The following is a 20,679-nucleotide window of genomic DNA, read 5'->3' on the forward strand; positions in this document are numbered from 1 at the left end:
CCTGATGGTACTTTTCTGAAAAAGATTTTGGAGGGAATTAACTATATGTGGTTAAGGTATACATGATCTCACATCTGTTTTATCAAGTTTCTGCGTGACAGCAAAGCTTCAGTGACAGAGTGCCTTGGCCAAATGGCTTGGCTATTGCATGGAGAAACACGGGTGTCAGACTTAGCACTTCCTTCGCTTCTGTTCTTTTAGGATCCAACCCCTGTCTGTGGAAACATACCATGCAGTTAACCTCCAACTGGAGTATGCCTGATGTGTAGGCGGCTTTTTCTGCCTTGTCCTGTTTTGTCATCTTTGTTTTATTCCTGTTGCTTGAAACAACTTCTATACAATTTAATGATAATCCATCCTCAGTTATGAAAGAAAAACATGCAGATGACACTAAATTGTGATTCACCAGAAGTACTTTCTGTTTGACTTTGAAAAACTGTCAGAAGGAGCAAAGCACCTTTGCATACAAGAACCTTCTTTCACGTTGTCTTTCTTGCAGGGACACAGTGGGCCCAGGTAGTGGTGGTGCGCTATCCACTTGTAGATTTTGCAGAATGACTGTAGAGAGGGCACAACGAAAGAAGGGAAACTTCTTTTTAAAACTGGCTTGAACTTAAAAATCTTTAGTGCACCCTTATAAATAAGAAGCAAGTGCTTCTCCTCCCCACATGGATACTTTGTGCTCCACCCATACATAGGTACTTTGTGCCTCTTCAACCATTGGCATTTATCTGTCACTCTCTGGGTGGCCAGGTGGCCCATTAGGAGGGCCATGGCTCTCATTGTCTAGGGGTGGCTGCTTTTGGATGAGGCTAGAGTTCAGCCATCTGATTTGCTGCTCTAGAACTATCTTAGATTGACCTCAGTAATAATTTCTTATTAGTACAAGTATTTCATATGTTCACACATTAAAAATGCAATTTTATTTTTACTTTCTATCAGAATAATTTATGTTCATGTTTTTGAAAAGTAAATAGTAGAGAAGGGCTTATAAGTGAAAAGAATCACCCCTGCCCTACCTGTTTGCTTTCTAGAGGGGACTGTTTTTAATTTGTAAACATTTTCTTATAATGCTGCCACCTTATCCCTAAAGAAAAATCTGCTTTATAACTAGTAATTGGTTATTAGTTTTAGACCTTACTGACTGTACGGCAAATGATGATCTAGCTCACACATGGCCCCCAGTCCCCTCCTTCCTCTCAAGAGTTACAGCGTTGTTTTAATTTCTTATCTTGGTGAACCTTTGTAATTTTAATTGGTGTTTTTTACCCTCATTTCTGGTGGTATCTTTTTTTTTTTTTTTTTTTTTTTGAGGCCAAGTCTCACTTTGTCACCCAGTGCATTGGCGCCATCTTGGCTCACTGCAACCTCCGCCTCCCTGGTTCAAGCGATTCTCATGCCTCAGCCTCCTAGTAGCTGGGACTGTAGGCATGCGCCAACACGCCTGGCTAATTTTTGTATTTTTTAGTAGAGACAGGTTTTTGCCTTGTTGGCCAGGCTGGTCTCAAACTCCTGACCTCAGGTGATCCGCCCGCCTCAGCCTCCCAAAGTGCTGGGATTACAGGCATGAGCCACAGCTCCCGGTCTGGTGATAACTCTTGATCTTCCACTTTGTGAGAGGAATGTCTTAGCACTCCCACCCTTTCCCTTGGTAGCCTTCCAGTTGTTATCTGCGTCTTCTCTTTTGTAAAATTGCATTCTGTCCTACAATGATAAGTCATCTTTATCTTGTCTGTAGACTGTTTTTAAAAGTTGAGATTGTTTTTGTTTAATATGAACGTGTCTGTTACCTGCTCCATAGCTAAGTCACATAGTGTGATTTCATTCCCTCTCCTGAACTGCCTGCCTGCTTGCTTTCTTGCTTGCTTTCTCTCTCTCTCTCTTTTTTCTTCTTCCTTCCTTCCTTCTCTTTCCTTCTCCTTCCTTTTCCTTCCTTTCCCTCCACTCCCCTCTCCTCCCCTCCGCTCTCCTCCCCTCCCCTCCCCTCCCCATAACCTAGGCCAGAGTGCAGTGGTATGATCTCGGCTCACTGCAACCTCTGCTTTCCGGGTTCAAGTGATTATCCTGCCTCAGCCTCCCAAGTAGCTGGGACCACAGTTGCACACCAACACGCCCAGCTAATTTTGTATTTCTGGTAGAGACGGGATTTCACCATGTTGACCAGGCTGGTTTCAAACTCCTGACCCCAGGTGATCCACCTGCCTCAGCCTCCCAAAGTGCTGGGATTACAGGCATGAACCACTACATCCAGCCTGTTTTTCTTTGTTGGTCTTTAAGCACTATTCCCCTGTGATTCATGCTTCCCAGTCTGGTCAACACTGAAAGTTAGGCAAAATGTTAGTGATTTTAAAAACCAAGAGTCATTTGTTGGAAGGAACAGAGCCTATCCAAGCACACTTAAGCAAAAAGGGAGTTTACTAGAAAGACTTAGTAGTTTCTCAAGGAATCTGGGGACAGGAAAGCTGACCAGCCTGAGGAACTGGTACCAAGAACTGGGAAGAAGAACTAAGGTTATCTCTGTCTCTATAGACGAGTGAGCGCAGGGCATCTGAGCACAGACCAGCCTTACATGCTTCTCTGTGAAAGACTGCAGTAGAGATCAGCTGGAGTTCCTGGCCCCAATCCAAAATGTCTAGGAGCAGGTATTGACTGGCTTAGTGCTGCTGTTGGATTTGTCCCTCATGGTCAGCAATCTCCCTAGTTGTCATGGAAGGTACCTCAGAAAATGTTCATGATAGTGGTTATTTATTTACAAGGCAGAGGCTTGATACACCAGGAACAGATAGAGAGGGGGTTGATTTGGAAAATTAACTTCCCATTTGCTGGGGTACTTCTGGCTTTTAGGCCATCTTCTCAGATTTCAGAGCCTCCTAGTCAACACCTGAGTCTAAACCAAGTGAGTCATCTCTGTTCTCCTATTTGAACAATGTTAGGAGGAACCAATGCAAAGCTCTAACCAACATGGCTTTTTCTTTTTTCTTCTTCTTCTTCTTTTTTTTTTTTTTTTTTTTTTTAGATTAATTGGGAATCTTGGCTACTGGAGGATTCTAGTCGAGCTGAATTGCCTGTGACAGACAAGAGTGATGACTCCTTGCCCATGGGAGTTGTCGTAGACTATACAAACCAAGTGGAAATCACCATCAGTAAGTGTAGCCTGGTAGTTAGTGCAGAAATAGTCTTCTTTCTAGTTAGGGTTAATATTGAAACACCAGTTACATGTTACTGACAGAGTCTACTCTGCTGGGCACTTGTAGCTTCTGGCAGCACATTTCTCCCTGAAGAGTGATAACAGGCTGCGTTGTGACAACACTAAACTGATTTGAATGGATGTTCGTTGATGAGACCAAGGCCAAACACTGTATGTATGTGTGGGTGCATGTTTGCACACTTGCACATGTCTGGGTGTACTTTAGAATCTGGTTGAAATATAGAACATCAGGATTTTATGGCTTGGTTTCTTTGTCCAATCCAATTCCCTGGTGACCTCCCAAAGAAGCAATACCCGAATCTGGTACTGCACACAAGTACTTGGTTTGAAGGCAAGGATTAGAAAATAGAGACCTCAGGCCCATGGTTTCCAAATAGGGCCTAGATATGTGTTTTGAATAGATCTTCCCTGCAGTAGCTTGGCTATACTGTAGTCATTGAAATGTAAAAGTGCCACAAAAGAAACAGTCTTTGCCATCTGGTACTTAAGTTTAGAGAGGTGTCCCCGTCAGGCACCATTAAGTTGCTTGCTCCTTCCCTGGTTAGGCAGGAGTATTTGTTCTGATAAGCTCATTTGCTCTGATTCTCTTGAAGCCTTAACTGATAAAATACATACTTGTCATTCAGCTGTGAATGAGGATAAAGTGGTTTGACTCATCTTTCTGTGTCCTACTGTCCATTCCAAAGAGTCTAGTCTCATTTTCCTACTAACCTAAGTACTTCTTAGATATTCTTCTCTTGGTCAGGGGAATGCCAAGCCTACCTCCACTGAGGTACACAAGCCACTGAGACACTCATAAAAACTGAGGGACCTTTGGGAGAGTCAGAGCTACTGCGGGACTGATGGAGCTTCTAGGCAGGGCCCAGCAGGGTGGTGGCGATCTGATAGCGGCAGGAACTCTCTTTAAATAGCTGGTGCACGAAAGGCTGTTCAGATATAAAATCAGAACAAACTAACTTGAGCTGCTATTCAGATGAGTCCCTTAAACCCTCTTCATGTTGAGGGCAGTCTTTGCCTTCTGGGCTCAGGCCCTTAAATTCACTTGGTTTTTTTATTTTTGTTTTCTTTTTTAACAGGTGATGAAAAGACTCTTCCTCCTGCTCCAGTTCTCATGTTACTTTCAACAGATGGTGTGCTTTGTCCATTTTATATGATTAATCAAAATCCTGGGGTTAAGTCTCTCATCAAAACACCAGAGCGACTTTCATTAGAAGGAGAGCGACAGCCCAAGTCACCAGGTATGTGCCTCTGCCTGCTTTATCAGTAAGGGAATACCATGGGCTTGCACAAGAGTATTTCCAAGAATGAACATGGTGTGAAGACACATAGTGATTATCTTTACCAGCCTGGTCTGTCTTAGGAAGGCACACACTAATCTTTTTTTTAAACATGCATGTACATATTTGCCTTCCCCTACCCTCAAGCTTTATTCTGCAGCCATTACTTTACTTCGGAGATGAAGGAAGGTCAACCAGATGATTTGCATCCAGTCGTTTACCAACAGTTTTCTAAGACCCTATATTATGTGATGTGCATCCAAAAGACATTGTGCTTAATCATGGGGGTTGGTTAAAGAAATGATTGTATAGTCTTACAGTGAAATGCCATGTACCAATTATAAATGTTATATTTATTGACAGGGAAGGAGTGAGTGGAATACATCACCAAAAAAAAAAAAACCACTATTCTTTGTGATCTTTTCTGTATGAGAAAAAACATATACATAGAAAAACAACTTGGAGATGGATTTAAAGTCTAAATGGTGGTTATTTCTGGGTGATGGGAACATGGAGATTTTTGTTTATATTTTCTTGACTTTTTTTCTCCTTTTTGAAACATTTCTTAAGTAATAGATGTTTATTGAAGGAAAATGAGAGCATGCAAAACAATGGCCACAGTCAACATTTTGGTACCTATCCTCCATGAAAATGAATGCACACATATAAATACTAGTCTGTATTTAAACAATTTTTACAGTGACATTTGTATCACTTGTGAAAAGAAACTTTTTTTTTTTTTTTTTTTTGTGGAGACAGGGTCTTACTCTGTTGCCTAGGTTGGAGTGCAGTGGCATGACCACAGCTCACTGTAGCCCTAATCTCCCAGGCTCAGGCAGTCACCTAAGCCTCCCAAGTAGCTGGAACTACAAGCATGCGCCACCATATGCAGCTATTTTTTAAATGTTTTGTAGAGATAGGGTCTTACTGTGTTGCTCAGGCTGGTCTCAAACACCTGGGCTCATGTGATTCTTCTGCTTCAGCCTCCCAAAGTGCTGGGATTATACGCATGATACACTGTGCATGACCAGAAAATATAAAACTTTTAAAAAGAGCATTGTTTCATATGTTGGAATTTGACTAATATTTCTCTTTTTGAATTCTGTGAGTATATAACTGATACAATTTTTTTCTTCTATTATGACCAGTTTCTTACCTAAGCAAAAATGTATGACCAGTTGGTTTGTATAAGGTTAGCAATAACTTAGGGGTATATTCTCTTCCTGCATCCCAGTGCACAGTGAGTTGTATATCACAAATAGAGCCACTCAGATACTTGGGCCCTAACAACTGGCAGCACTACCCCAAGTGATATACCAGATGGCTTGCAGAGTGTTGTATCAGGGTAGTCCATTATTCATAGTGTGTGTACTCTTTGTGTTGTTTTTTTTTCCTCCTTATTCAGCCATGAATAAGGGTACCATGAACTACCTATACCCAGCTGCCTGGTGTGTCTGTAATAAGCAGAGCAGCCTGTGAGATTAGGAGCCTCTGGGATGGGACGAGGTTTGTTTCTGAGCCTTTGCTACTAGCCCATTCAATGCTGGAGCACAATCAGAGGCCAGTTTTACTGTTAGCCTTTCCTAGAGAAACTCCCCTCTTCCTTCACAGTTGGTCCAGAGGTTATAGTTGTGTTCAGATGTGTAGAAGAGAGCCCCTGCGGGGAGAAAGTCCGTCCCATCAGCTAAGTCTAGCTAAAGCCTACTTCATGGGTTCAGAAGACATTAATGGTTCCACCTGTTTCTACACTGCAGTTCTAAGGATGCTGTATTGATCAGAAGTAGTAGTAGCATGATGGTTTTCCAATAATCAGTTCTGTTTTCAGTGGAAAAAATGCTTTTGATTTATTTAGGGTCTGGTATATATTTTTCATGTCAGTTTACCTAATATGCATGAAAGTGTTTTAACATCTATGTATGTCTTTACAGAAGTTAGTTGTAGCTGGTTCCATATCTATTGTATAAAGAAGTATTAACAGAATAGGTTTGCTTGCATTATTATACTTTCATCAATGTGACAGTTTACTTGGATTTTTGTTTTCAGAAAGTGGTATTTTCATACTTGTATCTAAGTATTACGTTGCATTAGACAAAGTGTCTTCCATGAAGATAAACTGCCATCTTAGCTAATTTGGAACAACCAAGTCCTATTAATATAAATAGAAAATATTGACACAAAGAATTCTTTTCTTATTTAGTTGGTTATTTAATTTAAAGATTAATATTTTTACCTTATGGAAAGTTTGGAAAATAGAAAAAAAAATTATTCATTTTTGAGACAGGGGTCTCACTCTGTTGTGCAGGCTGGAGTGTAGTGGCAGGATCTTGGCTCACTGCAGCCTCTGTCTCCCAAGTCCAAGCGATCCTCCCACCTCAGCCTCCCAAGTAGCTGGGACTACAGGCACAAGCCATCACACCTGGCTGATTTTTGTATTTTTTTTGTAGCAACAGGGTCTCACTTTGTTCCCCAGGCTGGTCTCAAACTCCTGGACTCAAAGGGTCCTCCTGCTTTGCCCTCCCAAAGCTCTGGGATTACAGGCATGAGCCACTGCGCCCAGCCTTCCATTGACTTTTTTTTTTCTTTTTAACCATTTGGATTGCATTAAATATCTTTTTCATTTTTTGCATTATGTTTGTAAGCTTTATTCTTAGAAGAGAAATTACTGGGTCTGTTTTTTACAGTTTTTTATACAATGCCAAAATGTTTTCTTAAAAAAAATACTAGTTACCTACCAGTGATAAAAAGTTTCAGGTTTGTTTTACCCATCCAAACATAAGGGGTTAGACATATTTAAATTCTTATAATTTAGAGGACAAATTAAAAATGTACCTTGTTTATATTTCTTTGATTAGAGAGATTGAATGTGTTTTCTTTATGTGAGTTAGTTTCCCTGTTTATTAGTCCTGAAATTTTAAAATCTCAATTTGTATGAGCTTTTTAAAAAATAGAAAACATCTTATTTGTCATTTGCTATGGATCTTTTTTTTTAGTTCATTACCATTTAGTTATTGTACCTGAGTAGCTATTTTTTACACAAATCTTAACCTTCTCCCTTTGCGATTGTTTTTTTTTTGGTCACTTCTAAATTTATCAAGGTGTTAGATTCTGAGACCTAACATATCTATCAATTTGCCTCCTTTGTTTTGAGATACCTGTATTTATGTGACTTTCTATGTGTATTTATCTGGAATTACTTTTAGTGAAATAAGGTGGAGGTCTGAATTAAAACTTTTTCCTGGTTGTTAATGAAATGTTGCAGTGACTGAACTGTTTTGTGTGCCATAGTAGCACTGAGAAGTCCATGAAGTCCAATTATTCTAATGTCTTTCCTTAGTTTTCCTTCAGTTTCATTTATCTCATGAGACCTGAAAACTCCAACATGAACTGTGTACCCATGTGTTCTTTTTGCTTCTTAAACTAGTAACATTTCTGGCTTTATTCTACCACAAATTCTTTTTCACTTGCTTTCTATTATGTGAACCTCCACTGTTACAGTGTTAACATTTTCCTTCCTTTTTTTGTCACTGCAGGAAGTACTCCCACTACCCCAACCTCCTCTCAAGCCCCACAGAAACTGGATGCTTCTGCAGCTGCAGCCCCTGCCTCTCTGCCACCTTCATCACCTGCTGCTCCCATTGCCACTTTTTCTTTGCTTCCTGCTGGTGGAGCCCCCACTGTGTTCTCCTTTGGTTCTTCATCTTTGAAGTCATCTGCTACGGTCACTGGGGAGCCCCCTTCATATTCCAGTGGCTCCGACAGCTCCAAAGCAGCCCCAGGCCCTGGCCCATCAACCTTCTCTTTTGTTCCCCCTTCTAAAGCCTCCCTAGCCCCCACCCCTGCAGCGTCTCCTGTGGCTCCATCAGCTGCTTCATTCTCCTTTGGATCATCTGGTTTTAAGCCTACCCTGGAAAGCACACCAGTGCCAAGTGTGTCTGCTCCAAATATAGCAATGAAGCCCTCCTTCCCACCCTCAACCTCTGCTGTCAAAGTCAACCTTAGTGAAAAGTAAGTCACTTCTAAAGTTTGATTCTTCTGTGAGTTGGGTAGAAATATTGGATGTTATTTACTAAAAGTAGAGTCACTCTGAGAGGAGTTAACTGAGTAGAATTTTTTTACCCAGAGTGATACTTGCAAATGGCAAAAATTCAACCAACATAAAATACTGGCATTTCATCAGTGAATAGAGTCCAGAAGGGTCTCTTAGCTAGCATTTTATTTTTTTGACTATGGGATTTATATTCAGGTATTTGTTTTGCTTTTTTACGTTACAAATGTAGGAAATATTCCTTATTTTAAAAAAAGAAGCAATCCAGAGTATGCATCCTGGAAGGGAAATGAATCCCTTGTAGTCTTTTTTCCTCCCTGTGTCTACCCTTAACTCTCTCTGAACTGCTGTCTACACAGCCACAAAGTCATCTTGTGACACTGTAAATTGTTAGGTGATTCTTCTGCTTGACAGTCCCTATGAAGCCCCGTGGCTGCTCACTGCTAATTCTTAGGTTGGTATCCAGTTTCCTCCAGATCTGGGTCGGGCAGCTCACTCATTTCTTATTTATTTACTTCTTTATCTTGTTCTTTTCTTCCCACTAGAATGTAAGCTTTTGGAGGGAAGCAATCCCTTATATCTTGTAACCCCTCCCAAGATAACCATGAGTTCCCAAGATAACCATCGAGTATAAGTACTACCAGCTTTTTCCCTACTTGCCTGTACTATCTGTTGTTGCTATGGTGGTGCTGCTGCCACCACAGTTACTGTTAATACTGAATTGGCACACATCCACTTCATGCTAAGGGTTGCATAGTGTTCCATTTTGTTGACTGCACCACAGTTTATCTGACCAGTCATCTAATGCTGGAGTTTAGATTGTCTACAGACTTTTGCTCTTTAGGTGGAACCGACTTTACATTTCCTTTAGGCCATAAGTATCCCAAAGACAGTTCCCTGCATTCCTCTTCCTTTTTCACTCCCCAGAGAAGGTGCTCACTCTCAAAACGAGTTCTCAGTAATTTCCTTGGTAAGAGAAAGTACTAACTCTCCTAAGCATAATTGTGTCCCACCTCCTGTTTAAAACTCAGCTGGAAACAATAGTATTTCATATCATGATAAACTTGGTATTTCATATTGTGATAAACTTAGTTTTGATATTTCCCCTGAATAATTAATTCCTAAATAAGCAGACGAAAAGATAAATGTTTCCTTGCAGCTTTCACCTTTTATAAGAAATAGCTAAACATTTTTGTTTCCTGAAGGCAAAAAGTATGTTATCTTTGTAAGTTAACATAAAAGATAATAAGTTATCTTTTGATGACATTGCTCATGCTAGTGTAAAAGAATCTTCTAGCAGGCTCTTCTGAGGCCTTCAGGCTGCCATTTTTCAGGTTTACTGCTGCAGCTACCTCTACTCCTGTTAGTAGCTCCCAGAGCGCACCCCCGATGTCGCCATTCTCTTCTGCCTCCAAGCCAGCTGCTTCTGGACCACTCAGCCACCCCACACCTCTCTCAGCACCACCTAGTTCCGTGCCATTGAAGTCCTCAGTCTTGCCCTCACCATCAGGTATGATTTTAAGCAGACAACTTTAGACCTCAGCCCTGCCTTCTCAGATTAACGGTTTTAAGTGTTAAGAGTCGTAGCTAACATAGTTGGACAAGGTTATTTTTTCTTGCTTCCTGTATCATACATTAATGATTAATGTGCTGTGATTTTCATACTCTGAATTGGGAGATTTGCTCTTGCTTAAATGCTGCCACTCTTCTCTCTGACACTTCTTATGGAGCTAAGTGTATTTAATGAGTCAAAAATGCCTTGCTCTTGGGCATTTATTTTCATATGGAGCCTGCCCTCCATGAAGAGCAGTTACATAACAGTTCTTTAAGAAGCACAGGCACAAGAGTTGTTTGGCGGGGTGCGGTGGCTCACGCCTATAAACCCAGCACTTTGGGAGGCCAAGGCAGGTGGATCACCGGAGGTTAGGAGTTCGAGACCAGCCTGGCCAACATGGCAAAACCCCATCTCTACTAAAAATACAAAAATTAGCCAGGTGTGGTGGTGGGTGCCTGTAATCCCAGCTACTCAGGAGGCTGAGGCGGGAGAATCACTTGAACCTAGGAGGCAGAGATTGCAGGGAGTCGAGATCACGCCACTGCTCTCCAGCCTGGCGACAGAGCGAGACTCTGTCTCAAAAAAAAAAAAAAGTACAGAGGAGAGAGTACCTGCAGTGATTATATTCATATTTTCACAGTCAGTCATACTGTAAACAGGAAGTTTTGTTTTGTTTTTTGAGACCCTCTCACTCTCTCACCCAAGCACATCACTGCAGCCTCTACCTCCTGGGCTCAAGCGATCTTCCCACCTTAGCCTCCTGAGTAGCTGGGACTACAGGCATGTACCACCACCGTCGGCTAATTTTTAAATTTTTTTGTAGAGACAAAGTCTTGCCATGTTGCTCAGGCTGGTCTCAAACTCCTGGGCTCAAGCAATCCTCCTGCCTCAGCCTCCCAAAAGGCTAGGATTACAGGTTTGAGCCACCATACCTGGCTCCTAAAATTTTAATATATTTTTTTCATTATCTTAGAACAGAGGCTAGCACAACTGGTGGTCATCACTCTTTAAAATAAATCATGAAAGTGGGCCAGGGGCAATGTGTAACTTAATTTCTTAGATTTGGAGAAAGGACATTTGTGATAGGAGAAATAAAGGTAATAAATGCCATCTATTTTAACTGACTTCTTTTTCAAGCAGGACGATCTGCTCAGGGCAGTTCAAGCCCAGTGCCCTCAATGGTACAGAAATCACCCAGGATAACCCCTCCAGCGGCAAAGCCAGGCTCTCCCCAGGTATGTTTAAATTCAGCTTGCAATGTTTGTGTTTATTAATTTACTGCCCCAAGCATACCTATGAATAAAATGAGTTTTCATGTTTTATAATTCAGACCTTGGACATAGTAATTGGGACTATGTGATAGTAAATACCAAAGTGCGAGGTTTGAATACTTGTATACTCGTAAAAGCCATTTAGCTATTTTAATTTTTTATTCATGTATAATACAAATAGAAAAAAGTACACATGATACATGTACAGCTCAGTGAATTGTCAACAACTGAACATACCTTGGTAACTAGCATCCAGATCAAGAAACAGAATTTTACGAGAACCTGGCTGGGCACAGTGGGTCATGCCTGTAATCCCAGCACTTTGGGAGGCCAAGGCGGGCGGATCACCTGAGGCCAGTAGTTCGAGACTAGCCTGGTCGACATGGTGAAACCCCGTCTCTACTAAAAACGCAAAAATTAGCCGGGCGTGGTGGCACGTACTTGTAGTCCCAGCTCCTGAGGAGGCTGAGGCATGAGAATCACTTGAACCCGGGAGGCGGAGGCCAGAACCCCAGAGTTCTTTTTCACCTGTCCCCTTCTAGTCACTACTCTTGCCAAAGAGTAGCTGATTTGATTTCCAACAGCATAGATGAGGTTAGCCTGCCTGTACCTCCTATCAAGTGGATTTGTACAGTATGTATTCTTGTATCTGGCTGCTTTGTTCAACATTATGTTTGTGAGATTTATCCATGTCGTTGTATGGAATTTATTGTGTGATTATATTACAACTATTTGTTCCACTCTGATGGGCGCTTGAGTAGTTTCCAGGTTTAAGCCATTGTATGTAGCACTGCTATGACCGTTCCAGTTGACATCTTCAATGAACACATATGCAAGTTTCTCTTGGGTGTATCCCTATGAGTGAGATTGCTGGGTCATAGAATCTGCATGTATTCCTCATTAGTAGATTCCCACCAAGAGTGTATGAGACTTCTGGCTGCTCCACATACTTGCCACTCTTGGTATTTTTCATCTTTTGTTGTATGGTTTTGTGGTTTTAATTTGTATTTCTCTAATGATTAGCAAAATTAAGCTTTTTAAAAGATGATTATTGGCCATTTGAATATTTTCTTTTATGTTGTGTCTGTTCATGTCTTTATTCTGTTTTTCTGTTGGATTGTCTGGCTTTTTCCTTCTGATTTTTAAGAGTGAGTTCCTTGAATACACACACACACGCACACACATACAGTGCAAATATGTTCTCACTGTGAATTGTCTATTCATTGTCTTTTTTGTTTCTTTGATGAATACACATTCTTCATTTTAATATAATTAAGTATATCAGTTTTTTCTTTTATGATTAATGCTTTTCATGTTTTAGAAATAATTTTCTATTTCAAGGTCAAAAAGATGTTTTTCTAAAAGCTTTATTATTTTATCTTTCATATTTAGATTTGTAGTCCATCATCTCAGTTTATTTTTATGGTATAATGTAAAGAGAATTGTATGTCAGTTTCCCACGTGATTACTTGAGTGCCCTGAGAATAAGCGTTATGTCTTTTCCTTTCTGTGTCCCTCTAACCAACCCTTGTACCCTAACACACACCTGTACTAGGTACATAGTAAGTGCCCAGGTCACAGTTCACGGTGTGGCATGATGCATGACATACAGTGTTTGTCAAATAAATGTTTGCTGTTAATGAATGCTGATGCAGTCTAAGACCTCTCTAGTGTTAATCGTTGTAAGTATCAAATAGTCTAAAGGGCATTTCAAATTATAGTATCTTTAAAGCAGAACTCTTGATTTCTGTCTCCCCTAGAGGCTAGTCCTTTTCCAATGGGTAAGTAGCACTAACAAACCAGATGTTTGCACAAGCCCCAAGCCCCGAAGCATCCTAGATCCCTCTCTTTAACAGTACCTGTCCCCAGTCCAGGCTGGCGGGAGGTCTTGTCAGCTCCACCCTCTGCTGTGTCACATGTCATAAGCCCACAGCTCTGTCCCCCTGCTAGCATCCTGTGTCAAGCTGTTGCACCTCTCACCTTGTTAACCTCTCGACTACTCTCTCTGCTATCCCTGCTCTACATAGCAGCAAGAGGGATCTTTTAAATCATAAAGGAGATTTAAACTCTTGTAAAACACCAGTAGTAGCTTTCCAACACGTTTAGAATAGAACCCAAACTCCTTGGTGTGACCTTATATGACCTACCCCGGCCTGCCTTCCTGACTCTACCCCTGCCCTCTACAACGCCTCCCCTGACTTCACAGAGCCCACATTTACTTTTTTTCTTTGCTAAGGTTTCTCCTGCCTTGAGACCTCTGCACTTGCCTTTCTTGGTGCCTGGCAGGTGCTTCCTGAAGATCTCATAGCTTGCTTTCTGCTTGCAGCCTCCGTTCAGATGGCAGCCCGCAGTGAGGGCTTTCTTGGCCATCTCATCTGAAGTAGTGCCCTTTTTTATTCTCTTTATGTTTCCCTGTTTGTTCTCCAACTGAAATTATCAGATGTGTTTATATTTTATTATTCAACATGTCCCAGTAGGAGGTAAGTTCCATAAGAGTTGGGCCCTCATCTACTTGTTCACCTCTACCTGCACTGTCTAGAACATGCCTTACACAAAGTAGAGACCCTATAAATAAGGATTCGTTACAATGAGTGAAGAAATAATGACTGTGTTACAGGAGCGCCACTCCCTGTAATAGGCTCTGATATAATTGCTTGTAGAAGCTATGACTTGCAGTTTTTAAACCTTTTCCTTCCATTTCAGGCAAAGTCACTTCAGCCTGCTGTTGCAGAAAAGCAGGGACATCAGTGGAAAGATTCAGATCCTGTAATGGCTGGAATTGGGGAGGAGGTAAATTTGTTTCCTGAGGGTGTTTTTCTGAAAGTAGCTGACAGACTTGGATGGGTCAGAGTGCCAACCCCTGTATGACTAGTTAGTTCATTCTAGCGCTGAAGCATGGCCCATCCCAGCAGTCTGAGCAGTTAGTAAGCACGATAGCAGTGACATTACTGTTTGTCCTTCAGACTGAGTAGTTCCTCACTTGTGGCTTCTACAGATTGCACACTTTCAGAAGGAGTTGGAAGAGTTAAAAGCCCGAACTTCCAAAGCCTGTTTCCAAGTGGGCACTTCTGAGGAGATGAAGATGCTGCGAACAGAATCAGATGACTTGCATACCTTTCTTTTGGAGATTAAAGAGACCACAGAGGTTTGTGTTTATGGATACTTTTCCTGAGTTGAATTGCATTTAACAATTTTTTTCTCCTAGTACTCCATGGGGTTATGTACTTTATTTCTTCAAGGACCACCAGTGTTGTTGTTTTTTTAACGTGGCTGAGTAGCTTGCCTAGAATCCCTGAGTTCAAATCCTACCTTCAGCACTTAATAAATTATGTGACTTTGGGCAAGTTAACCTCGTTACTCTATTTTTCAGTTTTCTCATCATAAGATGGACTAAGTTTCTATCCCTTTGATGCATACTGTGCACTCCATAAAATTTATTATAATTGTTAATTTAATTTAGGTTTATTTGAAATTTTACTATCTCAAATAGTGTTCGATTTTTAAAAAAGGATATTTTAGGACATATGCAGTATGAAAATATTAAATGCTGGGTGTTAATAGTGTTAATTATTGTAACCATTATTACTACTTACTGTGTGCCAGGCACTGTGCCAAACGCATCACTTGTATTATCTCACTGAATCCTCACAACTTTGCTGTGTCATACATACTGTTACCCTATTTTGCAAGTCAGGAAACTGAGGCTTAGGCAAATTTGTCAAAAGTCACCCACTTAGCAAGTGGTAGTGCCAGAATTCTGCTTCAGACTCTCTGATTCCAGAGTTCGGGTCTTAAATAGTGTGTTTGGAAAGAGGCAAGTTCTTTAGAGTGTTAGCAGTAATTATCTTCACATAGTAGTGTTAGAGCTACTGTCTTTGTATTTTCTGCATTTTCAATCATTAGAATGTATTTTTTCAATGGGGATGAAAAATAAATATAAAAAAAGAACATTAGTGTCGTTCTAAACAGTTAAATTCTTTTTTTACCTGAGTTAAATATGTTCAGATGTTCATTCTGTTCAGTGAGCGTTTGAGAAACACCACCTTCCTTGATCCAAACAGAAAGATTTGGACGTAACAACTTTTTGTACCAACACATTATTGTACTTTTTCTAGTCGCTTCATGGAGATATAAGTAGCCTGAAAACAACTTTACTTGAGGGCTTTGCTGGTGTTGAGGAAGCCAGAGAACAAAATGAAAGAAATCGTGACTCTGGTTATCTGCATTTGCTTTATAAAAGACCACTGGATCCCAAGAGTGAAGCTCAGCTTCAGGTAGGAGATCTATGTAAATCTGTTTAAAAGATTTAAAAACAAGCTCATGTAACAATTGCTACCTCTTTTTGCATATAGATTTGGATGATGGCTCTTTTTGAAGTTGTTGATTTTCTGCTTATAATTTACCACATTTCCCGTAAACTTCCTTAACTGTGGCAAACAGTACACTTCATGTAATTATGTAATTTTTTTCACTTAAAACATAGATTTTTTTTAAAATACTTTTTTTCTTGAGACAGGGTCTTCTCACTCTGTTGCCCAGGCTAGTGTGCAATGGTGTGATCCCAGCTCACTGCAGCCTTACTTCCTGGGCTTACGTGATCCTCCTGCCTCAGCCTCCTGAGTAGCCAGGACCACAGGCATGTGCCACCACACTTGGCTAATTTTTAATATTTTATTTGGAGAGATAAGGTGTTACTATGCTGCCCAGCCCAGCTGGTCTTGAACTCCTGGGGTCAAGCAGTCCTCCTGCCTTGGCCTCCCAAAGTGCTGGAATTACACGCGTGACTGGCCAAAATTTTTTATTAAACCTTAAGCTTAATAGAGAATACTCTGTTGAAACATGTAAGTTGAATTATAAATAAATAATAATTATAAATAAATAATAAAAATAAATAATAATTATTAAAGTGGCAACTATTTCTTGAGTGCCATTTAATCTGCTAGGTGTTTCTTATGCATTATTTCTAGCCTTCAAAGCCAGCTGCTCTGCAAGGTAAGAGTTACTGGTCCCTGTAGCCCATTATACAGGTAACTGGAAATTAAATTTCATAGGCTAAGTAGCTTGTCCAAAGTCATGTTGGCTAGGAAACGGGGAACCAGAATTGAAACCTCCATTTGCCTGAGCTCTTTTCTGTATGCTACACTTAACTTTTCTCTTGAAAAAAAATTTTTTTTTTTTTGAGACTGAGTCTCGCACTGTCGCCTGGGCTGAAGTGGCACCATCACAGCTCACTGCAGCCTCAACCTCTGGGCTCAAGTGATCCTCCCACCTCAGCCTCCCACATAGTTGGGAGTACAGGTGTGTGCCACCACACCCAGCTGATTTTTAAATTTTTTGTAGAGATGGGGTCTCACTACATTATCCAGGCTGGTCTCGAACTCCTGAGCTCAAGTCACCCTCCTGTCTTTGTAATCCCAAAATTCTGGGGTTACAGGTGTGAGCCACTATTCTTAATTATTCTTAATCTCTGCTTTTGCTAATCGGATTTTGCTTTCCATCTTTCAGTGTACACCGAATCATTGTGTCACTGGCCTTAGTGTGGGGGTCCTCTTCTGCTATCTCACATTTGTCTGGAATTCCAGCGGGAAGCGTTCACTGGCATCTCTGGTCTTCCTCATGACATCTGTGGGGTTTGCAGGTGTGATGAATCATTCTTGCCTCAGAGAATTTGAGGCCTCAAACTTTATTGTTCCCCAGTGTTTCTGTCCCACACCTGGTCAACTTACTGAAAATTAAAAAAAAAAAAGAAAAATGGTTCCTTCTTCAAGATAGATTGCAGAGCCCTTGCTGTGATCTGCAGCCCTCTGGTATTCCTGATGCGTCCTCTTTCCACTGTGGATATTACCTCTCAGCAAGAGAGTGCTGCCTGCCTACTGCTCATCAAATTACAGGCATCCGCTCTGCATCCGAGCTACATGTTGTTCCTATGTGCCTTTCCACCTCTTTCTCTATTGACAAACTAAGAGGAAAGCATACAGCTTTAGGGAGACACTTATTCAGGAGGGAATAATTTTCTTTTTTCATGGTGCTAAGTAGATAATACTAGTTAGCATGTATTGAGTGTTTACTATGGACAATGCACAGATGATGAAACCAAGATAACTGAAACTGCCCAGGTTTTACCACTAATAAACCTTGAAACCTTGAACCTGGGCAGTCTGACTCAAGAGCCTGTGCTCGTACTCAAGAGTCTGGTTTACAGTTCATGCAGGTTTACAATTCACTCGGGTTTGCAATTCCTGCAGTTGGGTAAGTGACAGAGAGAAAGACGAACATGTAAATGTAGTGTGGGATATGTTGCTATGGGACCACAGGTGAGGGAGCAGCCGAGCCAGAGAAAAGAAGTATTTGTGATAGGCTTTAAAAGAAGAATTGTTTTTGGCTGGTGGGCACAATTGGGAGGGCATTCCAAAGAAACAGCAGCAGCTAACGCAGAGGTGTGGTTGTATCTGAAGTGATCAAAGGAAAGAGCCTCGGTGAGTTGAAAGTTACATTTGCTACTAAGGTTACTTCTACTTCTCTTGAATCATCTTGGCTCTTTTAAAATTACATTTTCTCTTTTTCAGATAGGACATAGACCCTTATCCACAAAATAATTTTTTTTTAATTTTTAAAAATTTCAATAGTTTTTGGGGGACAAGTGGTGTTTGGTTACATGGTTAAGTTCTTTAGTGGTGATTTCTGAGATTTTGGTGCACCCATCATCCAAGCAGTGTACACTGTACCCCAATGTGTAGTATTTTAGCCCTTACCGCCCTCTCTCCTTTCCCCCCAAGTCTCCAGAGTCCATTGTATCATTCTGTCTATCTATCTGTCTGTCTGTCTGTCTATCTATCTATTTATTTATTCATTCAGAGACAGTCTCACTCTGTCACCCAGGCTGGAGTGCAGTGGCGTGATCTTGGCTCACTGCATCCTCTTTCACCGTGTTGGCCAGGCTGGTCTTGAACTCCTGACTTCAAGTGATCTGCCCGTCTTGGTCTCCCAAAGTGCTAGGATTACAGGCGTGAGCCACCGCGCCTGTTCCGTTGTATCATTCTTATCCCTTTGCATCCTCATAGTTTAGCTCCTGCTCATAAATGAGAACAAATGGTGTTTGGTTTTCAATTCCTGAGTTACTTCACTTAGAATAATGGTCTCCAGCTCCATCTAGGTTGCTGCAAATGCCATTATTTCATTCCTTTTTATGGCTGAGTAGTAGTAGTTGTGTGTGTGTGTGTGTGCGCACGCGCACGCTCGCGTGTGTGTCACATTTTCTTTATCCACTCGTTGATTGATGGGCATTTGGGCTCGTTCCATATTTTTGCAATTGTGAATTGTGCTGCTGTAAACATGCGTGTGCAAGTGTCTTTTTCATGTAATGACTTCTTTTCCTCTGGGTAGATACACAGTAGTAGGATTGCTGGATCAAATGGTAGGTACTTTTAGTTCTTTAAGAAATCTCCATATTGTTTTCTGTAGTGGTTGTACTAGTTTACATTCCCAACAGCAGTGTAAAAGTGTTCCCTTTTCACCACATCCACACCAACATCTATTATTTTTTGATTTTTAAATTACGGCCATTCTTGCAGAAGTAAGACGGTATTGCATTGTGGTTTTGATTTGCATTTGCCTGATAATTAGTGATGTTAAGCATTTTTTTGGATGTTTGTCAACCATTTGTATATCTTTTAAGAATTGTCTGTTCATGTCCTTAGCCCACTTTTTGATGGGATTGTTTGTTTTGTTCTTGCTGATATGTTTGAGTTCCTTATAGATTCTGGATATTAGTCCATTGTCGAATGCATAGTTTGTGAAAATTTTCTCCCACTCTGTGAGTTGTCTGTTTACTCTGCTGATTATTTCTTTTGCTGTGCAGAAGCTTAATTAAGTCCCATCTATTTACCTTTTTGTTGCATTCGCTTTTGGATTCTTGGTCATGAACTCCTTGCCTAAGTCAATGTCTGTAAGAGTTTTTCTGATGTTATCTTCTAGAATTTTTATGGTTTCAAGTCTTAGATTTAAGTCTTCGATCCATCTTGAGTTGATTTTTGTATAAGGTGAGAGATGAGGATCCAGTTTCATTCTTTTACATGTGGCTTGCCAATTATCCCAGCACTATTTGTTGAATAGGGTGTCCTTCCCCCACTTTATGTTTTTTGTTTGCTTTGTTGAAGATCAGTTGGCTCTAATAATTTGGCTTTATTTCTGGGTTCTCTATTCTTTTCCATTGGTCTGTCTGCCTATTTTTGTACCTGTACCATGGTGTTTTGGTGACTATAGGCTTGTAGTATAGTTTGAAGTCAGATAACGTGATACCTCCAGATTTGTTCTTTTTGCTTATTCTTGCTTTGACTATGTGGGCTCTTTTTAGTTTTATATGAATTTTAGGATTGTTTTTTCTAGTTCTGTGAAGAATGATGATGGTATTTTGATGAGAATTGCATTGAATTTGTAAATTGTTTTTGACAGCATGGTCATTTTCACAATATTGATTCTACCCATCCATGAGCATGGGATGTATTTCTGTCTTTTTTTTTTTTTTTTTTTTGAGACGGAGTCTTGCTCTGTCACCCAGGCTGGAGTACAGTGGCACGATCTCGGCTCACTGCAAGCTCCACCTCCCGGGTTCACGCCATCCTCCTGCCTCAGCCTCCTGAGTAGCTGGAACTACAGGCGCCTGCCACCACGCCCGGCTAATTTTTTGTATTTTCAGTAGAGACGGGGTTTCACTGTGTTAGCCAGGATGGTCTCGATCTCCTGACCTCATGATCCACCCGCCTAGGCCTCCCAAAGTGCTGGGATTACAAGCATGAGCCACTGCGCCCGGCTGAGCATGGGATGTATTTCTATTTGTTTGTGTCGTTTCCATTTGTGTCGTCTATGATTTCTTTCAGCAGTGTTTTGTAGTTTTCCTTGTAGAGGTCTTTTGCCTCCTTGGTTAGGTATATTCCTAAGTTTTTTTTTTTTTGTTCTTTTTTTTTTTGCAGCTATTATAAAAGGGGTTGTTGTTTATTTGATTCTCAGCTTGGTCGCTGTTGGTGTATAGCAGTGCTACTGATTTGTGTACATTGATTTTGTATCCTGAAAGTTTACTGAATTCGTTTATCAGATCTAGGACCTTTTTGGATGAGTCTTTAGGGTTTTTTAGGTACATGATCATAACATCGGCAAACAGCGACAGTTTGACTTTCTCTTTATCAGTTTGGACGCGCTTTATTTTTTCTCTTGTCTGTGCCAGCTACACAAATAATTTTGAAAATACATTTAAACATAATAAGATCTCTCTACAGATGTAAACTGCTTTTCCTAGTGTATAGCACATTATCTCCATTTGTAGACAT

General features: G+C 40.7%; 1 protein-coding gene across 2 annotated transcripts in view, besides 2 other annotated features; it reads left to right on the top strand.

Moving 5' to 3' along the window:
• The window catches only part of NUP214 (nucleoporin 214), a 109,078-nt gene that overhangs the window by 10,679 nt on the left and 77,720 nt on the right, over positions 1–20,679 (top strand). The window contains exons 10-17 of one of the 2 annotated variants that reach the window (NM_005085.4): positions 3,017–3,143; positions 4,285–4,446; positions 8,016–8,490; positions 9,865–10,040; positions 11,226–11,320; positions 14,060–14,146; positions 14,352–14,501; positions 15,472–15,630. In NM_005085.4, the coding sequence (NP_005076.3) occupies positions 3,017–3,143; positions 4,285–4,446; positions 8,016–8,490; positions 9,865–10,040; positions 11,226–11,320; positions 14,060–14,146; positions 14,352–14,501; positions 15,472–15,630 (1,431 nt within the window). Of the gene's footprint in view, positions 1–3,016; positions 3,144–4,284; positions 4,447–8,015; positions 8,491–9,864; positions 10,041–11,222; positions 11,321–14,059; positions 14,147–14,351; positions 14,502–15,471; positions 15,631–20,679 lie in introns of both variants that reach the window. The other variant, NM_001318324.2, reaches the window with a different exon arrangement.
• Positions 7,963–8,464: an enhancer, noted in NCBI's record as "NANOG hESC enhancer chr9:134019614-134020115 (GRCh37/hg19 assembly coordinates)". NCBI's record gives its function as "activates a minimal SCP1, AML or CMV promoter by ChIP-STARR-seq in naive H9 embryonic stem cells {active_cell/tissue: H9 hESC(naive)}" and the evidence as "EXISTENCE:reporter gene assay evidence [ECO:0000049][PMID:30033119]".
• Positions 13,518–13,812: a silencer, noted in NCBI's record as "tiled region #7681; K562 Repressive non-DNase unmatched - State 25:Art". NCBI's record gives its function as "represses a minimal TATA promoter and a strong SV40 promoter by Sharpr-MPRA in K562 cells {active_cell/tissue: K562}" and the evidence as "EXISTENCE:reporter gene assay evidence [ECO:0000049][PMID:27701403]".

The sequence above is a fragment of the Homo sapiens genome, chromosome 9 (assembly GCF_000001405.40).
Source record: "Homo sapiens chromosome 9, GRCh38.p14 Primary Assembly".
NCBI classification, from domain to species: domain Eukaryota; kingdom Metazoa; phylum Chordata; class Mammalia; order Primates; family Hominidae; genus Homo; species Homo sapiens.